Source organism: Homo sapiens, chromosome 3, assembly GCF_000001405.40.
Source record: "Homo sapiens chromosome 3, GRCh38.p14 Primary Assembly".
NCBI lineage: Eukaryota > Metazoa > Chordata > Mammalia > Primates > Hominidae > Homo > Homo sapiens.
In genome coordinates this window covers 126,417,117-126,442,849 of record NC_000003.12, presented here as the reverse complement: position 1 = coordinate 126,442,849, position 25,733 = coordinate 126,417,117, and the positions used below count along the sequence as shown (strand labels likewise).

The following is a 25,733-nucleotide window of genomic DNA, read 5'->3' as shown; positions in this document are numbered from 1 at the left end:
ATTAGGAATAACTTATATGATAGTCATTGTACAGTTGTTTTTTTGAAGCCGTTCATAGCTGGATCCCACACATCCAGGCAGGGATGTGTGGGCAGAGCAGTGACAGTGCCTAAACTCCTTGGCACTCGCCAGTCACTGTTCTAAGTTTTGATCACATATTTCCTATGAAATCCTCTCCAAAACCTTCCGAGGTTGGGACTAGCATTCCCATTTTACAGGTAGATAATGCTGAGGCCCAGAGCTTGAGTTCCTTTTCCAGATCCCTGGAGCAGAGTGGGTGGCGGGTCAGGGTGAGCCTAGCCGGGGTCTCTGCAGTGCACGCTCTAGGCTACCTTTGGGCCCTTTTGAAGCAGCTCTTGGGTTTGTTATGGGTGTTAAGATTTTTTCTTTTTTCTTTGTGCTTTACTTCATTTCTTAAGAAGCACATATTTGTAAAACCCATGGAGTAGTGACTTGGAAAGGAGCTGGACAGAGGCAGCAGTCCACCCACAGGTGGGGTATGGAGACCGCCCGCTTCCTTCCTATTCCATGATGCTGTGGCTCTGGGCTGTTGGCTGTCCTCAGTTGCGCTTGGGATTCCTGCCAGCCAGCAGCTGCTGGAGTTAGAGGATTCTGCTCTCCAAGAATTTGCAGCTTGTGTCTGATTACCGTACCGTCTGGCAAAAAAATACGTATGATGTTTTTACATTTTTAAAATCAAAATCCTGATGTTTTTTTGTTCGTATGGTTGTTTGTTTCAACCTCTTAACTCTTGATTTTTTCTGTTAAGTGATTTTACGTCTCTTAGCTGTGCAGAATGACAATTAATGGGAAGGCTGTCTTCCCCATAGTGAGACCTTGGTAAGGGCAGACCTGACTGGTAGATTGTAGATTGGGTGTGCTCGTTTTTATATTTCATTTTAGGAGCCTCACAGTCTACTCAGAGAAAAATAAAAGAAGGCAAAATGAGTCCTCCCCATTTCCATGCAAGCCAGAACAGTTGGTTGTGTGGGAGCCTCGTGGTGCCCAGCGGAGGACGGCCAGGACCAGCTCCAGCAGCTGGGGTGCAGTGCGGGGCGCAGGGCGTCCAGGTCCAGCTGGTGCAGGTGAGAGCTGGCCAGTCACACAGGCCAGCTGTAGGCGGGGTGGGAGGGTCACGCAGGTCTGAGCAGTGTGCGGCATGCTGCATCCCCTGCCCATCGCAGCACCCCCTGCCTGCCTGCCCCTCGTGCATCCTCCCCTGTAGACTGCCCCAAGTCCTGTCTCCTCACAGCCCAGCTCCTCCCTTTTTCCCAGCCTGTCCTGCATCTGCTCAAGCTCTGAGTGTTGCTGGGACCGTGCATCCACTTCCTGAACCTGTCTGTGCACAGCCCTGCGTCTAGCCCCAGAGTAGCCCGCCTCCCTGCCCGAGGCCCCCAGGGCTGTTTTGCAGCAGGATGAGATCTGTTTGAGGCCACCCTGCCCTTCTTCTGCAGGGCTGGGGCAAAAGGGCTCCGCAGGCCGTCTCAGCCACCCCATTTCTAGGGCGGCCTGCTTGTGGCGCACTAGCAGCCTTTCTATGCTGAAGGTGGTGGGGGTCTTTTCAGTGTTTTTCTATTTTCTTTCCTACGAAACAGAGCCCCTCCAGGGCAGGCCCAGGCCCCTCCCAGCCTGTCCGGGCCACAGATACCTGCAGCTGTGGCCAGTTTCCAGGAGGTCTTTGAGCACACCTGCTTCAGCAGCCCTGAGCACACCTGCATCTTCAGTCTCAGTTTGAGGGGCTGGAATGGGGAGGGAAGATGATTTGGAAGGATTTGGGGAGAGAAGAGATATACAAGCCGGGGCTGTCTGGGTTTGGCCCAGGTGTGTGCCCCTCTTCACCACTCCACTTTGTAGATTCCCTGTGGCAGGGGATGCGGTTGCAGGCCCCACGGAAGTGCGGAGGGTGGAGGTGACGCTGGCTCTGAGTTGGGAAACAGGCACGTTTGTGGGTTCAGAGTCCTGGGAGAGTCTCGCCAAGGAAACAGGACCAGGCCTGGGGCTCAGAGAGGCAAGAGGAGGGGCAGCCTGGGCAGAGGTGGGCTGGGAAGGGGGCAGGGAAGAGGCTGCGGGCAGCTGGGGGTGGCCCTGTGCTGGTTGGAAGCTAGCGGTGAGCGTCAGATGGGGGCTGAAGCTTGTCTTAGAGAGGGGCAGGAGCACTGGTCCTTTGTTTCCAGCTTCTGAAGAGGTAAGAACTCCCCAGGAGCAGGGGCAGGGGGAGGGGGAGGACCATCCAAGGAAACACTGCCTCAGCTGGCAGGGCAGAGGTACAGAGTCAGGACCAGAGGCTTGGCAATAGGGAGACGGTAGGGAAGCTGGTGCCACCGGCAGAACAGGAGCAAGTAGGGGGTATACTTTTAAGAGATGCCTGATTAAACCTGGGTTTGAGTTCTTTTTCTGTCCCTTACCAGCTAGCGTAGTCTTGGTTACTTAAGCACTCCGGGCCTCAGTTTTGTCATCTATGAAATGGGAACAGTAGTGCAGACCTTGACACACAGGAGCTTCTCAAACAGAAGGAATGAGAGGTGCAGAGCAGCAGCACCAGGAGCTCCGCTTCGGGGTGTGAATGGCCATGGGCGGACATGCAGGTGCAGGACAGGCGAAGTGTGGGACAGATGAAGTTTCTAGCCTGGACTGTGAGGGGCCTGGCAGCCTCCCCTCTCAGGAGCCCCTCTACCTGCCCTGGTCCTTCCAGCTGGCCCGTAGGCAAGCTGGGGCATGCAGGGAAGGCCCTCTGTGGGGCCCGAGGATTTGCTGGAGAGCACTCTGGGTACACAAGGTTGGTGGGGGTACAGGGCGTGCCAGGGCACCTGCAAGGAGTTGAGGAGCGTGCCTTAGGAGGGAAATCAGTATTTGGGCTGACTGAGGGGAGGAGCTGGAGAGCAGAAGGTTCCAGGCCCAGCAAAAGCTGCTGGGATCAAGGTGACAGAATGAGAACCAGGTGGGAACAGGTAGTACCCAGCCCCCATAAACAATTCCTGCTGGGTCCTCGGGCCTCCCTTGGAATACAGGGGGTGGGCTGGTTCTGCCACGCATTGCAGCTGGAGGAGACTTCTCAGGTGAGACGAGGACCTTTGCTGCACTCTCACAGACATGTGACAGGCCTTTCTGTGTTGCCTTCCCAGGATGACCCCTCCGGCGAAGGTGTCCTGCCCTCGGCCCGCGGCCCAGCCACCTTCCTCCCCTTCCTCACTGTGGACCTGCCCGTCTACGTCCTCCAGGTCTGGATGCCTTACTGCCCTTTGTTTTTCTTATTGAGACTCGCAGAGCCTTCGACTTCCAGAAGCCTGGCTTCACAGCTGCAGGCTGGTCACTGAGGCCGCGTGGCTTGGGAGGCTCAGTGGGTTGGTTGCCAGGATGTCTTGCTGCCTTCTGGAGAAGGTGGGTGAGTGGAGCTCAGATCTGCAGGACGCTGCAGCTCCTGCTGGTAGACAAAGCAGGAGAAGTTAATATGCTCTTGAAAGTGTTGTGCCTAGGAATTCCAGTTAATTCTCTGGGAAGAGGGCTGGCCAGGGCCCAGCCTGTGGGAGAATAGACTCGGATGAATTCAGTAGTTTGCTTACGTGGTTAAGCTAAGGATGGGTGGCAGTGAATGATTCAGAGTTTGATATGAAATAGCGAAAGCGTATAGCTTATCACATTTCTAACAGTTTGCCTTACGTGTTTATATATTTACAATAAGCCATGCAAATTGTGTTTTAGTTTTTTTGCATTCAAATTGGGCTATTCAGCATTTCCCTCGCAATCAAAACCAAACTTGGACAGAAGCACTGGTGGGAGCAGAGGGCCGGGCACCCAGGCTGCAGAGGGGTGAGCTGGAGGGCGGTTTGGCAGCATGGATCAGAGAACTTCAGAAGTGTCTGCTCCATCCTGCCTGGCAGCCCCCTCCTGGGACTGCTCCTGAAAAAATAAGGTAGTGACATAATCACCGTAGCCCGGAGTCAAATGGTGCAACAGCAGGAACACTTCTTGTAGCAGGAGGAGACAGGCTAGATGGGGCCTCCATAGCCCTGGGCCACATCCTGGTCAGCTGTGAGGGCACAGGCGGACGGACACCTAATACCTGGGAGAGTGCTCACCGCGTGAGAAGTGCGGAGAAAGGGTTGCAGAAGTAAAGATGATTTTGTTTCTGTAAAAAGGCATATGGGTATATGAACATGTGAGGGTATACGTCAATGTGCAGACAGAACAATCTTGAAAAATTTACAGTACAGTATTGAGTTCATTTTTCATCAAAGAACATGTGTTTAGAATAAGGGGAGCCTGTAGTTTTGAGTAAGAGAAGTCAGGTATCTCACCACGGGCCTGGTCAGTGTCCTGCTGTGTGGAGCCACAGGATCCCTCTGCCTCCCCTCCCTCCTCCCTCTTCATGACAATGCTTGGTTTTGCAGGAGGTGCTCCCCTCATCTGGAGGCCCTGCTGGACCGGAGGCCACCCAGTTCCCAGGAAGCACTATCAACCTGCAGGATCTGCAGTGACGGCAGCCTCGGCCTGGGCAGGCCCAAGGCCACGGTCTAGGACACACCTTCCCTGAGACTCATGACATGAGCCTGGGGAGACCTCATTTGGTTTCCGTTCAGAAGACCAGCGTAGCCCTTTTGAGACTTTTGGGTACATTTATCAAAAATGTTTTCCTTTTGTTTTACCAGGAATGAGTTCGGGCTATACTCTTTGAAACTGCCTTTGTGAGCAAAGTGCTTTGGCAAGGCAAGGGTCTCCCTCAGCAGGGCTAGGTGCACTACAGCCTCTTTCCCCGTGTCCCGTTGGATCTGAGCTGTGTAGCACTTGTTGCATTACAAAGAAAAAGACTTCTGCAGGAAATAGGGTAGAGAACAGGCTGTCTAGTCAGATGCAGCTTGATCTGTGGCAAAACCAAGTGTGGTCTTTCAGCTTCAGTGTGTTAGCATCCCAGCACCTGGGATGGGGTTTGTGGGCAAGTTGATTTTGCCACACTGTAGGGCCCAGGTGGTCCCATTGCCACCGTGAAGCCAAATTCTAGCCCAAGTCTGGTAGAGCAGTCGGGCAGCTAGTTTTCGGGGGAGGATGATGTGGTGGGACAGAGGACCTCAGTGGCCTATTACGGAGCCCTCTTCCCAGACTAAATTCATAGCCGAGAGCTCGGGGGGATGGTAGAGTTAAAATTTAAAATAATTTTCTAAATTCTGTATTTGGATATTAGTGTTTAAGTGGTAATTTGGCAACAGTTTATAAAGTGATGTTCTGAATACCATAAATTATGTGTAGGACTGTGATGGCGCGTGTATGTTTTATTATTGAGGTTGATGTGCACATAATACGTCAGTGTATATTTTTACCGAGTGAGGTCTGTCTTGTAAAAGGAGACAAGGTGATCACCTTGCCCATGTTTATTTGTAAGTCTGTCAACTTAGCAATGACACAGGGTCACTCCTAAATGACTTTTTTTTTTTTTTTTGCCTTGTGCCTTTTGAAGTATGTGTTCATTCAGAGGCTGTTTTGATTCTCAGACTGAATCATTCAAACTCTGCCCTGTGTTTGTTTCTTGAATTTGGGGGTGACATCAAGTTTGAGTGAGTCCTCCCTCTGTCTTGTCTCACTCTGAGGTGCTGTCCCCAGGTGCTGTTCCACGTGGAAGAATCCACACCTCGTCGACAAATGGGTCTTCTCCACAGACCGGCGCTCTGTCACCAACTAAAGGCGAGGGGAGAACTTGCCCACCTGGCAGGCTCTTTAGCCCCAAGGTGGCCCGGAGTCCTCCTCCCTCCATGGGAGGCTTTTGGCCACCATGGCGGGTGGAGCCGCACCCACCCCATCTCCATGGGGAGGAGAGTCTTCCCCCAGGAATGCCCTCTCGGCCTCTATTTTTCTCCCATGTGCCTCCCTGGGAACGTCACCGTGAAGTGACTGGGACTGGCACCCAGTGTTCTGGGCACCAAGGTTCCCTGCCGGTGATGGGCCTAACTCCTAGTGCAAATGAATGAAAGTTTTCTTATAGTCATGCACCGAAGGTTTTTCACCTTGGCTTAATTCAAGTAGCTACATATATGGCATTCAGCCCATTGTTTCTCCTTTAGTTGGTAGTGCTGGCCCTGCCATATACCTAGCTGCCTGCTTGTATTTCTTTGGTCTTTGCACAGAGGCTGATCTCACACTACACTCAGCGTGGAATTAGCTTTTGTCTCGCAGAGCAGCTGTTTTAGATGGGAACCAAGGTGTCATGCTCTTGCCCTCAAGCATCTGCTTAGGGTTAAATGATGAACCGGCGGGGTGCTGAGATTTGGCAATGGTGGCTGCATCCTTAAGCAGGCCTTCAAGACTCCAGAGAGACATGAATTTATTCAGGTGAGGAAGGGAGCACACAGGAGACAGAGAGGACTCAGTTGGGCCACTCGAGACCCAGCCCAGTCTCTGCTTCCTCTGCCAACATCTTTGCTAAGCCTTCAGCCAGAACAGCTATGGTCTGCGAAGATTAAGTAAAGAAAAATAGCAGCTCCTCCTCCTCCTTGTCCATCAGTGTGTGCTCAGACTGTTGTTTGATCCTGTGGGCTGGGGGTCGTGAGCGGCATACCAGTGTCCTGCCTCTCTGCAGGGGAAACAAGCCCAGTGAGCCTTGCTGCCTAGTGAGCCGTATGCCCATATACCCCTGCCCCTGGTGCAGGGAGAGGCCCAGCAGCTCCAGTCACCTCCAGGCCACTCTGGTCAGCCCTGCAGGCTGAGGGCTGGAGTTAACTCTGAAATAACTGGGGGTGTGAGTCTGCCTGGCATTTATCAAGCCTGGTCTCTGGAGCACCACCTATTAGATGTGGGGGCAGAGGGACCTGCTTCCTGTTGCCAGGGTCAGAAGGCAGGAAGGGTGGGGGCCTTGGGACACAGCAGTAGGGGGACCCCAGTGACGGGCAGTGAGCAGGGCTTGGGGTCTGGCCGGAGTGTGGGTAGGGTGGTGGGACCCTGCTCCTGAGCAGAGTGTACCTGGCTGGGGTGGGTGGGCATGGCTGAACCAGGCTCAGCCTGGCATGGGCCATGGGCTGGCAGCCTGGGGAAGAGCCCCCTGCAGGAAGCAGGTCCTGGGAGAGGCCTTGCTCCGAAGGCAGCCTGTCTCCCTCAGAGCCTCATTGAATGCCTTCAGAGTGGTAGCATCAGGGGCTTGGGCTGCAGGACCTCAGCTGCCATGCTGTCTTGGGACCCCCTCCAGCAGAGACCCCCCAAGGCGACCCTGCCTACCTTCTTCTTGATCTCAGCCTGGGCGCGCGCCCGGGCCCGCTGCAGATGCTCCTCCTGTAGGATCTTTTGCATCTGGAGCTTCTCTTCTCGAAGTCTGGGTGGCAAGAAATGACATTGAAAACTGGGGGGACCTGGAAGGTGTTGTGTAATCTCCACACGGAGTCCCCAGGCCAGGCCGTGTCCTCCCTCAAGAAAACTCCCAGCTCCTCTTCACCTCTTTTGCCAGGTCAAGTTCTCAATACCTATCCACAGCCAAAGCACCGCTGCTTTTGGCCAAGGTGGCCTAGGCCCAGAGGAGGACAACCAGGGCCCTGCTGCTCCGAGGCCCTGGCTCTGGCCTCCTGCAAGGGCTGAATCTAAGGTTCATCCAGCAGACCCCTCCCAGAGGCACATTTCTCTGAATCTACACCCATGGCCTGATCTGTGCACCTGTGGCCTCCCTTGCCACCATGAAGGCCAGCATCCCCCTGGGGCGAGAGTCCTGTCTCCTTCCTATATATACTCTCAGTCATCAAAGCCTGGTCTAGTGCCCACTCTGAGCAGGGTACCAGGGACCCAGAGGAGAAGCCCCTGTGCTTGGGGGGACGGATGGATGTTTGCAGATTGCGCTGTCTCAGAGCCCTGCACGGGGTGGATGAACCGGGCTGCCCACAGGCCAGGGAAGCCACAACCCCCATCTACCTTGGGTTCAGGCTGGTGTCCCGACAGATAGCAAGCTGCTGCCCATCTGCCCCCCTCCACTCCCCTCTGAGCTGAAACTCCCAAGGCTCTCTGAGCCTCTGCACTTTGTCTTCCGCTCCAGCAACACTGCTGTAGCCATGCCTTCTCTCCTGGGTGCTGGCAGCTGCCCTTGCCCTCAGCCTCCAGCCCCTCCAGTCCAGCCCCAGAGGGAAGAATCTAACCACACCCTACCTGGCCGTGTTTGCCCCACTGCTTAAAGCCCTCCACTGCTGTTCCATGTATTTGAGGCTGACCGTGCTAGCCACACTCTAACTAAGCTCCAGCTCTTCTATCTTCTAGACCCTGTCCCTCCCTGAGCCTCCTGGCCACATCGAGTCACTGTCGTTTGCTCTAGGAAGCTTTCCCTAACCACCCCCCACTTGACTGTGATGCCCCTCTAGATCCCCCCAAGACATGGGCTTTTGTCTCTCATAGCACAGAGCAGGAGGGGCCTGTCTCCTGGGAGTGCTTTGAGGGTGGGGCCTGTATGTGCCCTCTGCCCTCAGGGCCAGCCAGGACACAGCAGCTGGCAGGGAGAGCCTAGAGCTCACCTGATGCGCCGCTCCTTCTCCTTTGCCCTCTCGGCCTGCTCGATCTTGACCTGGGGCACGTGCTCCAGGTTCTCTAGCAGCTCATCCAGCTGGTGCTCAATGATGGTCAGCATCTGCACGGTGCCCAGGTTGGCCTCCTGCTGGGTGCCGGTGCAGTGCCGGTACACATCCAGCACCTTGCAGTTCAGGCTCTCTAGCAGCTTATCCTGTGGAGGAGGTGGCTTCCAGCAGGGTGCTGGCAGGCGGAAACCCACCCCCATGCCAGTGCCTTCAGCGGTGGCCTGCTGACCTCCCAGGGTGGGGGCCACCGCTTGGCACACAGTGGGAGCTCTGAGAACATGGGCTAAAACAGAACTTGGGGAACTGGCTTTTCTTGGCCAGAGCAGCCTATCCCCCGGGCCCCCTGGAGTCAGCCAGATCCCTGGTTCCAGCCCCTCTCCCAGCTGCCTCTGGTGAGCCAACGGGGCCCAGTCCCCTCCTCCAGGGAACCCTGCACCCTGGGCACCCCACAGGGCTATGTCTTCTCTGAGACTGTTCTGACACTTAGAAAACAGATAACAGCCCCTCCATGTGGGCTATATGAGGAGAGAGGAGCAGCAGGCAGGCAGCTCAGCCCAGCCTGGGCACAGCCAGTGCCCATGGATTCTGGCTGTATCGGGAGCGCTGTCTTGCTCATGGCTGCATCCCACACCCTTGGCCCTGTGCCTGGCACACAGCAGGCACTTGACAGTAGGAAGCCATCCCATGCCCGGGGTGGCCCCAGGCTGTCAGGTTGGGAGCGGGCTGAGCCTTTGTCTGGGTCCTGGCTTCTGCTGCTCAGAACACCACTGGCTTTCTCTTCTCTCCCAATTCTCTCACCCTCTCAGCCTGGCTTGAGGACACGCCTCTTCCCCCCCTTCAGGATCACCTTGCCAGACACAATATATGTGTTTAAGAAGCAGACACATTTGTTGAATAAAAGAATGAAGCAATGGATGAGGCGTGGGGGCAACCAAGCTGGCTGGCACAGGCATCAATACATGTGGTGGCTCCTGGAGGGAGGCAGGGCAAGGGCAGCTGCAGGGCACTCACCCGGGCCTTGTCCTCCATCTTCCCAAGGGCTGTCAGGGCTCCTCCAGTGGGTGCCCAAGGGTCCCTCCTTACCCTGGGCCTCTGGCCACCTTGATCCCCAGCCTACCTGCTGATCGCCCTTGTACTCGCCGAAGTGGAAGACTCGGGCTTTGAGCTCCAGCTCAGCTGCTGTGTCCTCCTCCTTGGTGATGGACATCATCATTGTGGTGACCCACTGCTTCAGCTGGTTGACCTCCCTGTCCCTGGAAGAGGGGAAAACCGGCAGGGCATCAGTCACTCAGCACAGCCCTGGGCACATCGCTTCTCTGAGCCTGTCTGTACAGTGCTTTGCCCCTACCAGCTGTCCTGAGGGCTGAAGGATCATGGGTGCCAAGTCTCTGCATGCCCAGGGGGTCAGAAATGCTGGTAGAATGTAGGGGAAAATGTAAAATATTTAACAATCAACATTAAAGAAAATAAACAGCTTCATTGAGGCATAATTCACAGACAATAAAATTAGCATAACCATCATAAAATATACAAGTCAGTAATTTTTTATATATTCAAGGAGTTTACACAACCATGACCATAATCTAATTTTAGAACATTTTCATCACCCTGTGCCCATTAACAGTCACTCCTCATTGTCCCCTCTATCCTTTGGTCTTAAGCCACCATGAATCTACTTTGTGTCTACCCTGAACACTTCATAAAAATGGAGTCACACAACATGTTTTCTTTTGTGACTCGCTGCTTTCACCCAGCATATTTTCAAGGTCCCTCCATGTTGCAGCATGTGTCAGCACTTCATTTCTTTTTATAGCTGAGTAATCTTCCATTGCATACGTAGGCCACACTTTGTTGATCCATTCATCCATTGATGGGCATTTGGGTTGTTTCCACCTTTTGGCTCTTGGGAATATTGCTGCTATGAACATTCATGTGCAGGTTTTTGTGAGGACATGTTTTCAATTCTCACGAATATATATCTAGGAGCAGAATTTCAACATTCACCTTTCTTTTTTCCTTTTTTTTTTTTTTTTTTTTTTGAGACGGAGTCTTGCTCAGTCGCCCAGGCTGGGTGGAGTGCAGTGTCACAATCTCGGCTCACTGCAAGCTCCGCCTCCCGGGTTCACACCATTCTCCTGCCTCAGCCTCCTGAGTAGCTGGAACTACAGGCACCCGCCACCACGCCCGGCTAATTTTTGTATTTTCAGTAGAGACGGGGTTTCACTGTGTTAGCCAGGATGGTCTCGATCTCCTGACCTTGTGATCCTCCTGCCTCAGCCTCCCAAAATGCTGGGATTACAGGTGTGAGCCACTGCGCCCGGCCTCAACATTCACCTTTCAAGTGAAATAAGAAACAGATGCACAAGGGACATGCTGCTCAGAGTTGGTCCTCAGACATCCTGGGCATCACCTGCAAGTGTGTCAGAAATGCAGAGTCTTAGGCCTTGACCCATGCCTATTGAATCAGAAACTTCATTTTAAGATCCCTGGGGGATTCAAGTGCACATAAAGTCTGAGAAGCACTTCAGTATAGGGAAAGTGATCTGGTTTCTTCAACAAATGGATGGCAAGGGGGAAAACAAAGGAAACCTATAGATTGATTTTATTGATAGAAGATTTTATAGATAGAAGAATTTAACGATACAACCAGAGGAATAGCATCAGCAAGATGGTGGAATAGGGGGTCCTCAGCTCTTGTCCTTCCACAGAAACACTAATTTGACAACCATCCATGGATGAAAATGTCTTTGTCAGAGCTCCAGAATTCAAGGGAGAGGTTATAGCACCCAGTGGTGCATAAAAACAGAGAAAAGCCATAGAGAGTGAGAGAATAGTTTCATTCTGCCTATGTCACCTCTCCCCCAAGCCATGGCAGTGCTGAAAGAGATCTCATTGGCCTGCAGTTTCTCCTGTTGGGGGAAGGAGAAAGCAAGGTGGAACCCCCAGGTTTCCATTCATTTTGGGGTATTTCCCAAGAGGCCCATTTCTCTCTCATCTCTGCCTTAGCCCTGGTGTAACTGTCATGGATGGATCACCTCGAGGGCAGCTAGGAACAAATAAAAGGCACAGGGGCTGATAGCACCCAGTGTGCAGACCTCACCTGTCTGTAGGCCCTGTGCAGACCTCACCTGTCTGTAGACCCACCACAGCAGGCCCCACCCACCTTGGACCCTGGCAGTAGGCCCTGCCCACAGACCCCACCAGCCAACACATGGAGAATCTCTGGCTGAGCTCTCTGGCTTTCTCCTTTGGCTTTCCTTGCTGAAGCCAGTCCCTAAAGACTGAAAGAAGCAAGTCCTTCTTCAAATGTGCAGATAGCAATGCAAGGCCACAAGGATCATGAAAAATCAGGGAAACATGACACCACAAAAGGAACCTGATAAGCCTCCAGTTATTGACCCTAAAGAAATAAAGATCTACAATCTGCCTGAAAAAGAATTCAAAATAATTGTCTTATAGACTCCCAGTGAACTGTAAGACAACACAGATAGGCAACTAAACAAAATCAGGAAAACAATATAAGGTCAACAAAGAAATAGAAACCATAAAAAAAAACCCAGAAATTATTGAGCTAAGAATGCAATGACTGAACCAAAAATTTCAAGAGAGCTGTAACAGCAGACTAGATCAAGCAGAAGAAAGAATCAGTGAACTCAGAGATAGGTCACATGAAATTAGCCAGCTAGAGGAGCAAAAGGGCAAAAAAATGAAAAAGAGAAAAAAGCTTATGGGACTTACAGACATCATCAACTGAAACAGTATATGCATTATAAGAGTTCAAGGAAAAGGAGAGAGAGAAAGGGCAAAGTATTTTTTATTTTTATTTTTATTGATACATAATGTACATATTTTTGGAGTACCTGTGGTAATATATTCATATAATTTATAAGATCAAATCAGTGTAATTGGGATGTCCATCACTTTAAATATTTGTCTTTATACTAGAAACATTCAAATTATTCTCTTCTAGCTGTTTTAAAGTATACAGTAGATTACTTTAGACTACAGTCATGCCACTAATGTATCAAACACTAAATCTTATTTCTTCTATCCAACTTTATATTTGTACCTAATAATCAAGAGAACTTAAAGAAATAATGGCTGAAATTTTCCCATGTCTGGAGAGGAAAATAGATATCCAGATTCATGAAGTCTAAAGATTCCCAAATAAGTAGAAGCTAAGAGATCTACTTTGGGACATATTATAATGAAATTATCTAGAGTCAAAGATAAAAAGATTTTGATAGCAAGAGAAAAGTGACTTATCATGTACAACAACTGCTCTAAGACGATCAGTATATTTCTCACCAGAAATCTTGCAGATCAGGAGAAAACGGGTTGATATATTTAAAGTACTGAAAGAAAAAAATGGCTAAAAAGAATACTATACGCAGGAAAACTATCCTTTAAAAATGAAGAGGAGATAAAGACTTTCCCAAACAAAACCTGAAGGAGGTGGTCACCCAGGATACTTGCCTTAGAGAAGTGCTAAAGAGAGTTCTACAAGTTGAAACAAAAAGTTACTAAATACCAACACGAAAGCATACAAAAGTATAAATCTCACTGGTAAATGTAACATCACAAAAAATGGTTACATTCAGAGGTTTCTGTATGCAATTGAAGTAAATTTGTTATCAGCTTGAAATAGACTATTATAAGATGCTCAATGTAAGTTTCATGGTAAGTACAAAAAAAAAAACCTACAGTAGATACAAAAGAAGATAAAGAGAAAAGAATCAAAGCAGATCACTGAAAAACAAAAACAAAAACATCAAACCCAAAAGAAAGCAGAAGAGGAAGAACAAGAGAGCTGTGAAACAGACAGAAAAAATGAACAAAATGGCAGCAGTAATATAGACAAAATAGACTTTAAGTCAAAAACTGTCACAAGAGGCAGAGAAAAGAAGATTAACATAAAATCAGAAATTAAAGAGACATTACAATTGATGCACAAACAGAAAAAGAAACATAAGGAGCTATTAGACAATCCAGAAAAAACAATGGATAACTTCCTAGAAACATACAACCTACCAAGACTGAATCAAGAAGAAATAGTCTTAACAGATCAATAACAAATAGGGAGATTGACATAGTAATCAAAACGCTCCTAACAAATAAAAGCACAGGACCTCATGGTGTCATGGGTGACTTCTACCAAACATTTAAAGAATTAACAGTAATCCTTTCTTTTTTTTTTTTTTTTTTTTTTTTTTTGGATGGAGACGCACTCTATCACCCAGGCTGGAGTGCTGTGGCACAATCTTGGCTCACTGCAGCCTCCACCTCCTGGATTCAAGCAATTCTCCTGCTTCAGCCTCCCAAGTAGCTGGAACTACAGGCATGCACAACCACACCTGGCTCATTTTTTTGTGTTTTTAGTAAAGACAGGGTTTCACTATGTTGGCCAGGCTGGTCTCGAACTCCTGACCTCAGATGATCCACCTACCTCGGCCTCCCAAAGTGCTGGGATTACAGGCGTGAGCCACCACACCCAGCCAGCAATCCTTTTTAAACTCTTCCAGAAACGGAAGAGGAGGGAACATTTCCAAGCTCATTCTATGAAGCCAGTATCACCTCGATAGCAAAGACAGACACCACCAGAAAAGAAAACTTAGGCCAATATCCCCTATGAACGTAGATGCAAAAATCATCCCAAAACTATCAAACAGAATTCAACAGTGCATTAAAACGATCAAACACACCTCACCCTAACACATGCACAGCCTCTCCCACTATCAACATCCCCCTCCAGAGTAGCACATTTGATACAATCAGTGAACCTTCCTGGACACATTATCACCCACAGTCCAGACTTTACATGCAGGTTCCCTCTTGGTACTGTGTATTCTATGGGTTTGGACAAATGTATTATATAATGATATGTATCCATCATTATAGCATCATACACAGTATTTTCATTGCCCTGCAAATGCTGTGTGCTTTCTCTCTCTTTATCCCTCTCTCCCTCTAAGTCCCTGGTAACCACTGATTCTTTTAGTTTCCCTACAGTTATGCCTTCTCCAGAATATCATAGAGTTGGAATCATACAGGGTATAGCCTTTCCAGGCTGAGTTCTTTCACTTAGTAATATGCATTTAAGGTTCTTCCATGTCTTGTCATGACCTGATAGCTCATTTCCTTTTAGCACTGAAAAATATTCCATTTTCTGGAGGTACCACAGTTTAATGATTAATATTGTTTGGATCTGTGTCCCTGCCCAAATCTCATGTTCAATTGTAATCCCCAGTGTTGGAGGTGGGGCCTGGTAGGAGGTGATTGGATCATGGGGGCAGTTTCTCATGAATGGTGTAGCACCATCCCTTTGGTACTGTTCTCCTGATAGGAGTGACTTCTCATGAGATCTGGTTGTTTAAAAGTGTGTGGCACCTCCCCACTCCCATTCTCTTGCTGCTGCTCCAGCCATGTAAGATGTGCCTTCACCTTCTGCTATGACTGTAAGTTCCCTGAGGCCTCTCCAGAACCTGAGCAGCTGCCAGCATCATGCTTCCTGTACATCATCATATGCCCAGGAGTCACAAATTAAAACAAAATACCACTACACATCTATTGGAATGGCCAGATCCAAAACACTAACAACACCTAATGCTGGCAAGGATTTGGAGCAAGAGGAAGTCTCATTCATTGCTAGTGGGAATGGAAAGTGGTACAGACACCTTGGAAGACAGTTTGTCAATTTCTTACAAAACTAAACATACTTGTACTATATGATCTAGAAATTGTGCTTTCTAGTATTTACCCAAATGAGTTGAAAACCTACGTCCACACACAAAAAAATCTGCACATGGATGAGCCATACAGACACGGCACTGAGGGAAAGAGACCAGACACCAGTGAAAACCTACTATATTATTATTATCTTGAAGTTCTAGAACCAGCTACTTTGGTTATCCATTGCTCCACAACAGGTTACACATAACATGCATTTATTACCTCAGAGTGTACGGTACTTATGTGGGTCAATTGCTAGGCTCTCTATTCTATTCCAATTATCTATTTCACTATTCTTTCACCGGTACCAAACACCATCTTCATTACTGTAGTTTTATTAAGTCTTGAGGTTGGCTAGTGTCAGTCACCCAGTTTTCTTGTTCATCTTCAGTGCTGTGTTGGCTATTCTGGGTATTTTGACTCTTCATATAAACTCCAGAATCAGTTTGTCAGTAACTACAAAGTAACTTCTTGGATTTTCATTGGGATTGCATTGAAGTTATAGATCAAGTGGGAAGAATGACATCTTGACAATACTGAGCCTTCCTATCCCTGAACATGGAATATCTCTCTATTTATTTTCCTTTGATTTCATCAGAGTTTTACAGCTTTCCTCATATAGATCTTGCATGTTTTGTTAGATTTATACCTAAGTACTTCATTTCAGAGGGTGCTAATGTAAATGGTATTGTGTGTTTAATTTTGAAGTCCACTTGCACATTACTGGTATATGAGAAAGCCATTGACTTTTGTATGTTAATCTTGTATCCTGCAACCTTGCTTCTTGCTATAACAGCTTATTAGTTCCAAGAGCTTTTTAATTTTTATTATTTATTTATTTATTGAGACGGAGTCTTCCTCTGTCACCAGGCTGGAGTGCAGTGGTGCGATCTCAGCTCACTGCAACCTCCGCCTCCCAAGTTCAAGTGATTCCCCTGCCTCAGCCTCCCAAGTAGCTGGGATTACAGGCACGCACCACCACGCCCAGCTAATTTTTTGTATTTTAGTAGAGACGGGGTTTTACCATGTTGGCCAAGATGGTCTTGATCTCCTGACCTCATGGTCTGCCTGCCTCAGCCTCCCAAAGTGCTGGGATTACAGGCATGAGCCATTGCACCCAGCCTTTTTTTTTTTTTTTAAGACAGGGTCTCACTGTGTCACCCAGGGTGGAGTATAGTGGCATGATCATGGCTCACTGCACTCCTGGGCTCAAGTGATCCTTGCACCTCAGCCTGCCAAGTAGCTAGGACTTCAGATGTGTGCCACCATGCCTAGCTAAGTTTTTTATTTTTTCTAGCAATATGGTCTCACTATGTTGCCCAGGCTGGTCTCGATCTCTTGGCCTCAAGTGATCTTCCTGCCTTGGCCTGCCAAAGTGCTGAAATTACAGGCATGAGCCACTGCACTTGGCCATCAGGAGCTTTTTGTTGATTGTTTTGAATTTTCTACATAGACATTCATGTCATCTGTGAACAAGGACAGTTTTATTTCTTCCAATCTATATACATTTTATTTTTCTTGTCTTATTACATTAGCTAAGACTTCCAATACAATATTGAAAAGTAGTAGTGAGAGAAGACCTCTTTGCCTTATTTCTGATCTCATGAGAAAGCTTCTAGTTGTTGTTTTTTTTGTTTCATTAGGTAAGATGTTAGCTGTAGGATTTTTGTGTTCTTTATCAAAATTGAGGAAATTCCCTTCTATTCCACATTTTCTGAAAGCTTTTATTATGAGTGGATGTTGGATTGTGTTCAGTGCTATTTCTTATGATCATATCATGTGACTTTTCTTATTTAACATGTGGATATGACAGATTATGTTAAGTTTTGAATGTTGAACCAGCCCTGCATACCTAGGATAAATCCCATTTGGTTGTGGTATATACTTCTTTTCCTATACTGTTGGATTCAATTTGCTAATATTTTGTTGAGGATTTTTGCATCTATGTTGAGGATATTGGTGTCTACTTTTCCTTTCTTGTAATGCCTTTGTCTAGTTTTGGTATTAGGGTCATACTGGCTTCATAGAATGGGTTAGGAAGTACTCCCTCTGCTCCTATCTTCTGAAAAGTGATTGTAGAGAATTGGTATAATTTCTTCCTTAGATGAAATTCTTCCTTTGTAGAATTCACCAGCAAACCCATCTGAGCCTGGGGCTTTCCCTTTTGGAAGGCTATTATTTATTTAATTTGTTTAATGGAATAGGCCTATTATGATTGTCTATTTGTTTTATATATTTTTAAGACTATATTTTGATTTTTTTTCTGAGAAAAGATGGCTGAGTTCATGGAAGTTAAATACACATGGGCTGTGACTCCCCTGGAAACAAAGTATGGGTGCTCTCAGGGATGGCTTGGCTGGCTGAAGACCAGCTTTGGGATGTCACATCCAGCATTCTGCTATGAGGTTTACGTTTGCATGCATGTGTTGGAGGAGGAACCTGTCTTCTTGCCCAATTATCTGGAAAGCTGGAGCCTGTCCACCTCTCCCCAGCTCATCTTCCTCTGTGTCTGTCACCTCCCAGCTTTCCAGGGCACATAGTCTTGCCTGAGGCTGGGGATTTCAGGTCATTATGGGGACTCTTTGCCATACTGCACCAACGGGACATGGGTGCTCAGGAGCATGGTTCCCCCATGGGACACTTAAGCCTCAGTGGGCTCCCACCTCAGTGCCTTTGCACCTGCTGTTCCCGCTGCCTGGGACCCTCTTCGCCCAGCCTGTGTGGATGGCTTTCCTCCCACTCCTCAGGAAGTTTCCTGACACCTCCTGGAAGCCTTCTCTACCCCTCCCATCTGCTGTCACCCTCCATTTTAGCCCTCTTTCTCAAATTGCTTTATTTTCCTCCTAGAACACATCAGTATGCACAAGTCACATCTGTGGATCTGTTTGTTGTATCTGCTGCCATTAAGGTCAGCTGCATGAGGGCAGGGCCTTGCTTTATCCTTGCAGAGCTTAGACCCAGGCCTGACCCAGAACGGATGCACAGGCAGTGTGTGGGGAGTGAGCAGAGGATTCCCTGCTCTGGACATGCCTCACCAGTGCCTCAGGCTGACCCTGCCCTGCCCAGTTCTCCTGGAGGCAGGTACCCTGCAGGGGACTGAGTGGCCACACCCAGCAGGAGGGACCATAATAGCCTCAATTGGGCTCCAGGTGAGAGCTGGGCAGCCACCTGACTTCTCCTGCTGCCTCTCTGGCTGGAACTGGGAGGGCAGGATTTTCCCAAGGCCCTAGCCACTTTGCCATGCTGGACAAGCTGTGTTTTAGGCCTGTCCCCAGAGGCCCCAGTCCTGGGTGGCCAGATGGCCCTCACCCATCCCTGCCCGTCTCAGCCCCACCTAGCCCCAGCCTGCAGGATGGCACAACTCGCCATGCCCATGTCCTCGTGCTCAGGGCTGCACCCACTCCCGTCCCCGTTATGCTGCTGAACAACAGCAGGGGACACACTTCACAGCAGCCCACAGGTGGCTTGGCCTTCCCCAGTTCTGTGCCGCGAACACCCGCTCAGTGGTCTACGAAATATGAAGCAGCAGCAGCTTCCAGGCCCTTCTGAGCAAATGACTGCTTTCGGTGCCTGTGTGAAGCATGTTAGTGCTGCTATGAACTGGGGGGTCAGGGTCGCTGTGGACCTCCAGCCACTCCAAGGGCCTCCCAGGAGCTTGGCAGCAGCAGAAGGCGCCTAGGGCAGAAGGTCCTTGGAGAGGCCTGGCTCTAGCCATGGGCTGCTTCAGGGTGGGCACGGGTGCCTGGGCCCTGCCCACCCCCAGCTCCACCACCCTCTCTCCAGGATCCGGCCCACAAACGGAGCTTCGCTCGGAGCTTTTCAGACAACCTGGACCAGGCCAGGGCCACGGACGGGTGTGGGCTGTTTCCCCAACTTGGCTCCCAGTGCTAGGGGGATCCCAGGATGAGAGCGGCAGGGAGCCCCCACTGGCCACCGCATAGCACCTACATGCGGATCTGGGTGTGTTTCAGGGTGTGGCTCAGCTCCTCCAGGGTCTTCTCCGTCTCCTGGCTGTTCTGGATCAGCGACAGGTTCTGCTCCTCCAGCTCTCGGAAGACATCCAGGAGCTGCTGGGGCTCCGTGAAGTACAGCTGTGGTTCCTGCAACCCACAGGTTTTGGCAGGGACTGGACAGGGACAGAGCCAGAGGGGCAGGGGTGGGGGCAGGGAAAGAGAGGGGCGACTTCCGAATTCCAGCCCAGCACTGGGCCATTCACCTCCCCATCGCTGTCGGTGTCCTCCTGCGTGGGGGGGATGGGAGAGTTCGACCTGCGAAGAGATGGCAGGGTCGGGACTCTGGGACCAGCCTGAGCAGACAGGAGCCAGGGGAGGGGGCACAGAGGTCTTGAAGGCGTTGGCAGCATCCCCATCCCTCCTCTCCCAGCTGCCCACAAGTTACCCAGAGGGCAGCACCAGCTTCCTCACAGTCCCCAGCTGCCACACTGCAGCCAGGGGATAGTTTCAATCCACTCATTTTCCCAAGGCCGTAGCCACTTTGACATGCTGGACAAACCATGTTCCAGACCTGTCGCCAGAGGCCCCAGTCCTGGGTGGCCAGATGGCCCTCACCCATCCCAGCTCCACTGCACTTAGAATAAAACCTGCTCTCCTCTTGGGTCATGCCAGGCAGCCCTCCCAGCACTCACCTTGCCTCCCCTTCCCCAGCCCCTCTGCCCTGCCTGGCCAGGTCCCATCTCTCTAGGTGCTGCCCTACCCCAGGCCTCTGCACCTGCGGCTCCGCTGCTGGGGCTGCCCCTCCTCCCTCACCCTTGTTTACTGAGTGCCACCTTTGAGGCCTTTCCTGCCCTGCCTCCCCCATCTAGGGTCAGTCTTGGCCCCTGTCCTGGGGGTCCCACTCACAGCAATAGAGGGACTCTCAGGGCTGCCTCCAGGTGATCCTGAGTGCCCAGGGGCAAGGTCTGTCCTGGACCAGTGGAGAGGGGCTGGGAACAAGCTGTGTGAGCTTTAAGCACTCAGTGTGGGCCCCAGAAGGCCCCACTCGATGGGGACCTCACCTGCACTGACTTCCAAACCTGCCCTCCCAGCCTGCTCCACCCTGGGCCTCACCTAGGATCTGCAGGTCCTGCTGACTGAGGTGGGGGGGGCTGCGCTGGCTTGCCCCAGGCACCTCAGGGACCTAAGCTTGGGCTTGGAGATGCCAGCCCCTGATCCCCAGAAGCAGAGAGGCATCAGGGCAAGGTCCTGTGGGACTCTGACAGCAGATCCAGGAGGGCTTCCCAGGAGAGGCTGTGATAACAACTACAGCACTCGCCAGACCCACGCCTCACACTGCACACCGATGCCCATTTTACAGATGAGAGAGCCGGCTGCCTGCAGGGCGCTGCTGGCCCATACGATGCCTTTCTGATAATCCACCCTCCAGATGGATGTAGCCTGGGTCAGGGAGCCTGACCTGGCGGTTGGTGGGCATGGGCTGGACTTCAGCCCCCATGTTCCCTCTTGGCTGAGTGAGTGCCTTATATAGCTCACAACCTGCCCAGCTATACTCAGTGGCCCTGGTCACCTGGCAAATAGATGGAGGGGCCAGGATTGAAACCCAGGACAGTGTGATCCCCGACTCTGTTCTCAAGTCTCCCAAGTGAGGGCCTGTCTGGTAGGGGGCAGTCCATGGCTGAGGGAGCCCTAGGCGGAGCAGGCTGCACTGCATACATTAGAACCTCTGCTCCTCAACGCAGAACTGGAAATGTCCCCCCACCAGCAGGGCGTCATGGTGGGCAACGTTAACAGCAGCCTGTGCGTGGCGCAGCAGCATGCCCCAGTGGTGGCTGGTCTTCACCACAAGGCGTGGCCACACTGGGCAGAAAGGAAAGCCAGCTTGGGTCCTCTTCCAACTGGAGAAGCATCAGTTTGGGCCATGGGAGGCTGATGTTGGGGCTACCCATCTGGGTGTGGAGTTCAGGAATAGGCAGTCGTGGAGAGGGGAAGACAGAGGGTGGAGAGCAGAAGGGCTGAGCAGCAGATAAAGGCCCCGTGGAGGAGAGTGGGTTGCCACAGACACAGGGCCCGGGCAGGGATGTAGGGAGCAGCCCTGAGCCCTACAGTGCCCACTTCTCTCCATCCCTGCTTCTGCCACCCTTATCCAAGCCGATAAAAAGCATCAGCTTCCAGAAGAAAACACAGGAGAATATTTTAGTGACTGTGATGTTGGCAAATATTTCTTAAGCAGGGCCCCAAATTCACCAATTATAAAATTAAAGATTGGTAAATTTGGCTTCACTAAAATTAAGAATTCCTGTTCTTCAAAAGACAATAGTGAACAGAAATAAGGTGGCCAGGTGTAGTGGCTCATGCCTGTAATCCCAGCACTTTGGGAGGCTGAGGCGGGCGGATCACCTGAGGTCAGGAGTTTGAGACCAGCCTGCCCAACATGGCAAAACCCCGTCTCTACTAAAAATACAAAAAATTAGCCGGGTGTGGTGGCACATGCCTGTAATCCCAGCTACTCGGGAGGCTGAGACAAGAGAATCGCTTGAACCTGGGAGGCGGAGGTTGCGGTGAGCTGAGATCACACCACTGCACTCCAGCCTGAGCAAGAAGAGCAAAACTCCATCTCAAAATAAATAAATAAATAGAAATAAGGCAAGATGCAAACTGGAAGAAGATACGTGTACCACACCACACCGGGCTGGTCCCCAGAATACATAGAGAACCAATAGGTAACCATAAGAACCAGGCCAATAATCCAACAAAAATGTACAGAAATCAGACACTTCACAAAAAAATGATATGTATGAAATGTATTCAGATTTGTCATCAGGAAAATGTCCTGATAACCATATGAGACCACCTCACCCACGTAGTGACCGTGACTGATGTTCTGTGCTTTGATGCTTTTGACACCTGTGGCCTTGCCGAGCCTGGAGGGACCACCTCTCTCAGGGTCCATCAATCCATGGAGACAGGAAATGACTCACCCTGGGCTCTGAGCTTGCCCTCAGCTCACCTTTCAAATGCAAACCACCCAATCCACTGTCCACACCCCAGCCAGATCATCTATCAGACTTTCACACTCAGTACCTATCCCCCCAGGGCCAGGACCAGACAACCAGGGGCAGGCCTTTGTCCAAGAGCCCGAAATTATTCAAAAACAAATCAGCCTTACACCTGCTCACCCGCCTCAACCTTAATTCCCATGGGAACCACAATGGAAACTCCTGCCCACAGGTCCTACTCCCTCTGCCTCCTGGCCGGCCTGGGACGTCCCTGTCTGGCCCTTCTTGGAGTAGGGACTGTGAGTAACACACTTTCTTTTCTGTGGCACTCAGACCTGACTACACATGGGTGCCACAAGGGAGGGCTCGCCGCTAGGCCTCAGCCCCTCCCAACCACCCGAGCCCACTCACCCTCTGGAGTCGCCACCGCTGGACTCGCTGGGCTGGCTGCCTTGCTGGGGGCTGCTCAGGTAAGACGGGCTCCGCCCCAGCCGCATCGTCTGCAGAAACCTCCAGGGCTTCTTTGTACCCTGACCCTCTGGAGAAAGCAGAGGAATAGTTTCCGAGCCCTGTGCAGGGCAGAGCCAGGCTCCTCCTCAGGCTGGGGGCGGCAGCTCACCTTTGGCCCACATGGAGCTCGCCTTGCCCTTGATCCCTGGTCCTGCAGGAAGCAAAGGGGGGGCCCCGATGGCCTCAGCTGCAGCCAAGCTTCAGCAACGCCATGTGGCCCAGATGCCTGCAGGTAACCTGCCAGCTGGGCTCAGGGTCGCAGTGGGCCACTGGCAGAGCCCACCTGGGAACCCACATTCTCTTTTCTGCTACCTTTGTCCCCTGGTGTGGAGTTAACACTGCTCTCTTTGGAAGCCTCGGAGACCTCCTTGGCCTTTTTGAGAAACGAGTGTTTCTTTTCCTGTTCTTCAAGCCACTCCTTGGGCGACAGCTTGTATAGGAAATCCTTATAGACCTTGTAATGCTTCAGAGTGTCTTCAAATCTGGAGATCTCACTACACCGGGGCGGGGTGAGGATGTGGGAAGGAGGAGGTCAGCCTCTGCCACAGCGAGGTCCCCATGCCGGGGCCACCCCTCCATCCTGGCCAAGTCTGTGTGGGCTCCTTGTTTTCCTTGAGAAAAGGTGCAGGAATGCCACATGCTGGAAGACAGGCACCCACCCTGCAACAAGCAGAGTCACAGCCCTTTGTGACTTGCAAGTTCCTCTCCACCCTGGAGACCGCACCTCTCTCAGGCTGTAGCTGGGCAAGCCTTTGAGCCAAGCTGCCAACCTCCAAGTGGAAGCCTTGAGAGTCACTGAATCTCTCTTGGTCTCACTCCCCTCGTCTATAAATGGGCAACAGCCTCATGGAAGCAGAGTCCCTGGGAGGTAAAGCCATGAGGTTCACATGGTGCTAGGCTTCCCTTGGCCAGGCAAAATGACTGAGGGACCAGGAGGTGGGCCAGCCAATGGCCAGCATGCCCTCTGACCTCACCTTTTGATATTAACAATCTGGGTGGTGAGGTCCCGGATCTCAAGGATCTTCTCTATCTTGGCTTTGGTCTCCTTCTCAGCCCTAGGGGTTGGGCGGCGGGGGAGGAGGGATGGGGGCAAGGGGCCAGTGGCAGCCTATTAAAGAGGGGTGAGCACACCACCCACAGGCCCCAGGGCTGGGCCCGGCTCCGGACAGGGCTGGAGAGCCACACAGTTAAGCCTTTTGCCCGTAGTGTCCCCTGCCCTTGGCTCCCGACCGGCCCTGGTGCTTCCAGAGGAGTTGCAGGGGCTGGGGGCAGAGGCTGGATAAGTGGGTGTGCACAGGCTCAGGGACAGTGGGGGTTCGGCATTGCCCAGCCAGCCCCTCGGGCCCGCAGGCTCACGCTCTCATGGCCTGCACGGAGCTGCAGTCATTCTCCCTGACGAACTCGTCGAACAAGGCGGCGTCCTTCTCCAGGGATTTCTCGGCCCGCTCCAGCCTGGCCTCCTCTTTGGTCGCCAGCGTCTCCAGCCGCTGGATCTCTCTCCGCTTGACATCCAGGGCATACTGGGGGCCAGCAGAGTGGGGTCATGGTGCCTGGCCCGGGCCAGCCACTGCTGGCATCCATCGCTCTGGGGGCCACGGGACCTACCTGGAGGAGGAACATTTGCCGCTTCTGCTTAATGTAGCCACTCATGTTCTCAGGCTCCACATTCTTTTCTGCTGGAAGAAGAGGGAGGTGAGCAGGAGCGGGAAGCCCAGGCTGAGGAGGGGCCTGGCAGGTCTGCAGAGGAGCCTTCCACCGGCTGCTGGCCACTGCTTTGCGTCCACGCCCAGGTGACTACCGGGACCATGGAAGGTAGTGTTCTTGTCCTCTGTCTCCACAAAAAGAGAGAAGGCTCTGCCTGAAATGTTACATTCTCCATGGCCAGAGTCCGGCCGCGTGGGAAGTCCTTACTGTGTCTGACTTGCGCCTTTCTTGCTGTAGCACTCACTTGCAGTAAGGCTCTGGACACCCCACCTGGGAAATTTCACCCAGCTGGACTTAATAGCCACAGGCCTTCTAGCCAGGACCTGAATGGGGATGAGGACAGAAAAATGGGGAGCCATAATTGCTACTTGGGGCACCTAAGCCCCCCGAGCAAACTGGGCAGAGGCTGAGTCTACACTGCCAGGGTTTAAACCAGACAGGAGGAAGTCGAGGTGGACGTCTGGACAACCTTCAGGAGAGCACGCAGAAGGACAGCGAGTCTGGGGCCAAGGGCCATAGGGGCCCCTTTCCCTGGCCTTCCTGGCGTGGAAGTTGTAGGCTGTCTCTGATTTGGGAGCTGTGGAAAGGACCTGGAAACCATGGGGCTCTCTGGCCCTGTCCCTCACACCCTTTCCTCTCCAGGAGCAGAGCCCTGCTTTGGCTGGTGCAAGAGCTCTGTTCCCAGAGTCCAGATCCCGGCAGAGGCCCTGGCTGGGCCTCCCTGGGTAGCCACGGAGATGTCCCTACCCCTGCAGGAGACCCAGCTCCTCTCTGGGAGTCATAGTCCCGCCTCCCCAGTCACTTGCCTCTCCTCCAGGTCTTGGGAATAAGGGTGGAGGCAGGAAAAAGAACAGGCCATGCTGTCTCCCCGTCTAACCCCCATTCCCCCTGCCTGCCTCTCCAACTGTGGGGCCTAAACGCCCCCACAAGCTCAGGGCGCCACTCCCCAGGTGGAGGCTGGAGGCCCTTGTGTGTTTCAGAGTCACATGGTACACCTCTAATCCCCTGTGCGCCAGGACTCTGATCTGACTGACTGCTTCTAACTTTGTAATATACTTCATCATCTGGGTTGGTAGAATATTAATACATATTCAGTACTTAAGATTTCCACCGCTCACACACATACATGGTTCTTACTACAGCCAATGTATTAGCACATTCAATCCCCACAATCCATGAGGCTGGTACTGTTATCAGCCAGGAAAGGAAACTGAGCTGCAAAGGGCTCAGGTGACCTGGGTATGACCACAAAGCTGTGAAATGCTGCAGCTGCTGCCACGGAAGCCAGGAAACCTAGGTCCAGCTCCATG

At 51.5% G+C, this 25,733-nt stretch overlaps 3 protein-coding genes across 16 annotated transcripts in view, besides 2 other annotated features; 2 read left to right on the top strand and 1 right to left on the bottom strand.

Moving 5' to 3' along the window:
• ZXDC (ZXD family zinc finger C) overlaps positions 1–5,249 on the top strand; it is a 38,291-nt gene extending 33,042 nt beyond the window's left edge. For 3 of the 6 annotated variants that reach the window (NR_104249.2, XM_011513119.3, NM_025112.5), the window contains 3 exons: positions 904–1,085; positions 3,123–3,218; positions 4,389–5,249. Coding sequence is in view for 5 of the 6 variants with exons in the window: in XM_011513119.3 (XP_011511421.1) it covers positions 904–1,085; positions 3,123–3,218; positions 4,389–4,475 (365 nt within the window). In the remaining variant the exon portion in view is untranslated. Of the gene's footprint in view, positions 1–903; positions 1,086–3,122; positions 3,219–4,388 lie in introns of those variants that run through there. The other 3 variants (XM_006713741.3, XM_005247757.4, XM_047448901.1) reach the window with 3 other exon arrangements.
• Positions 972–1,607: an enhancer, noted in NCBI's record as "H3K4me1 hESC enhancer chr3:126160086-126160721 (GRCh37/hg19 assembly coordinates)". NCBI's record gives its function as "activates a minimal SCP1, AML or CMV promoter by ChIP-STARR-seq in primed H9 embryonic stem cells {active_cell/tissue: H9 hESC(primed)}" and the evidence as "EXISTENCE:reporter gene assay evidence [ECO:0000049][PMID:30033119]".
• Positions 5,250–6,293: 1,044 nt separating the features above from the next.
• CFAP100 (cilia and flagella associated protein 100) overlaps positions 6,294–25,733 on the bottom strand; it is a 41,648-nt gene continuing 22,208 nt past the window's right edge. Inside the window, exons 6-17 of one of the 9 annotated variants that reach the window (NM_182628.3) lie at positions 24,325–24,392; positions 24,076–24,239; positions 23,694–23,774; positions 23,032–23,213; positions 22,829–22,870; positions 22,621–22,747; positions 19,474–19,525; positions 19,206–19,357; positions 9,646–9,781; positions 8,469–8,674; positions 7,198–7,291; positions 6,294–6,559 (exon numbers count right to left, since the gene is read on the bottom strand). In NM_182628.3, the coding sequence (NP_872434.2) occupies positions 6,446–6,559; positions 7,198–7,291; positions 8,469–8,674; positions 9,646–9,781; positions 19,206–19,357; positions 19,474–19,525; positions 22,621–22,747; positions 22,829–22,870; positions 23,032–23,213; positions 23,694–23,774; positions 24,076–24,239; positions 24,325–24,392 (1,418 nt within the window). In that variant the 3' untranslated portion in view covers positions 6,294–6,445. The other 8 variants (XM_017006322.2, XM_017006323.2, XR_007095676.1 and 5 more) reach the window with 8 other exon arrangements.
• Positions 8,668–10,054, top strand: LOC124906280 (uncharacterized). The gene has a single exon (XM_047449418.1). It carries the CDS (start codon positions 9,107–9,109, stop codon positions 9,650–9,652), a length of 546 nt encoding a protein of 181 aa, XP_047305374.1. The 5' UTR covers positions 8,668–9,106; the 3' UTR covers positions 9,653–10,054.
• Positions 23,797–24,694: an enhancer, noted in NCBI's record as "H3K27ac-H3K4me1 hESC enhancer chr3:126136999-126137896 (GRCh37/hg19 assembly coordinates)". NCBI's record gives its function as "activates a minimal SCP1, AML or CMV promoter by ChIP-STARR-seq in naive H9 embryonic stem cells {active_cell/tissue: H9 hESC(naive)}" and the evidence as "EXISTENCE:reporter gene assay evidence [ECO:0000049][PMID:30033119]".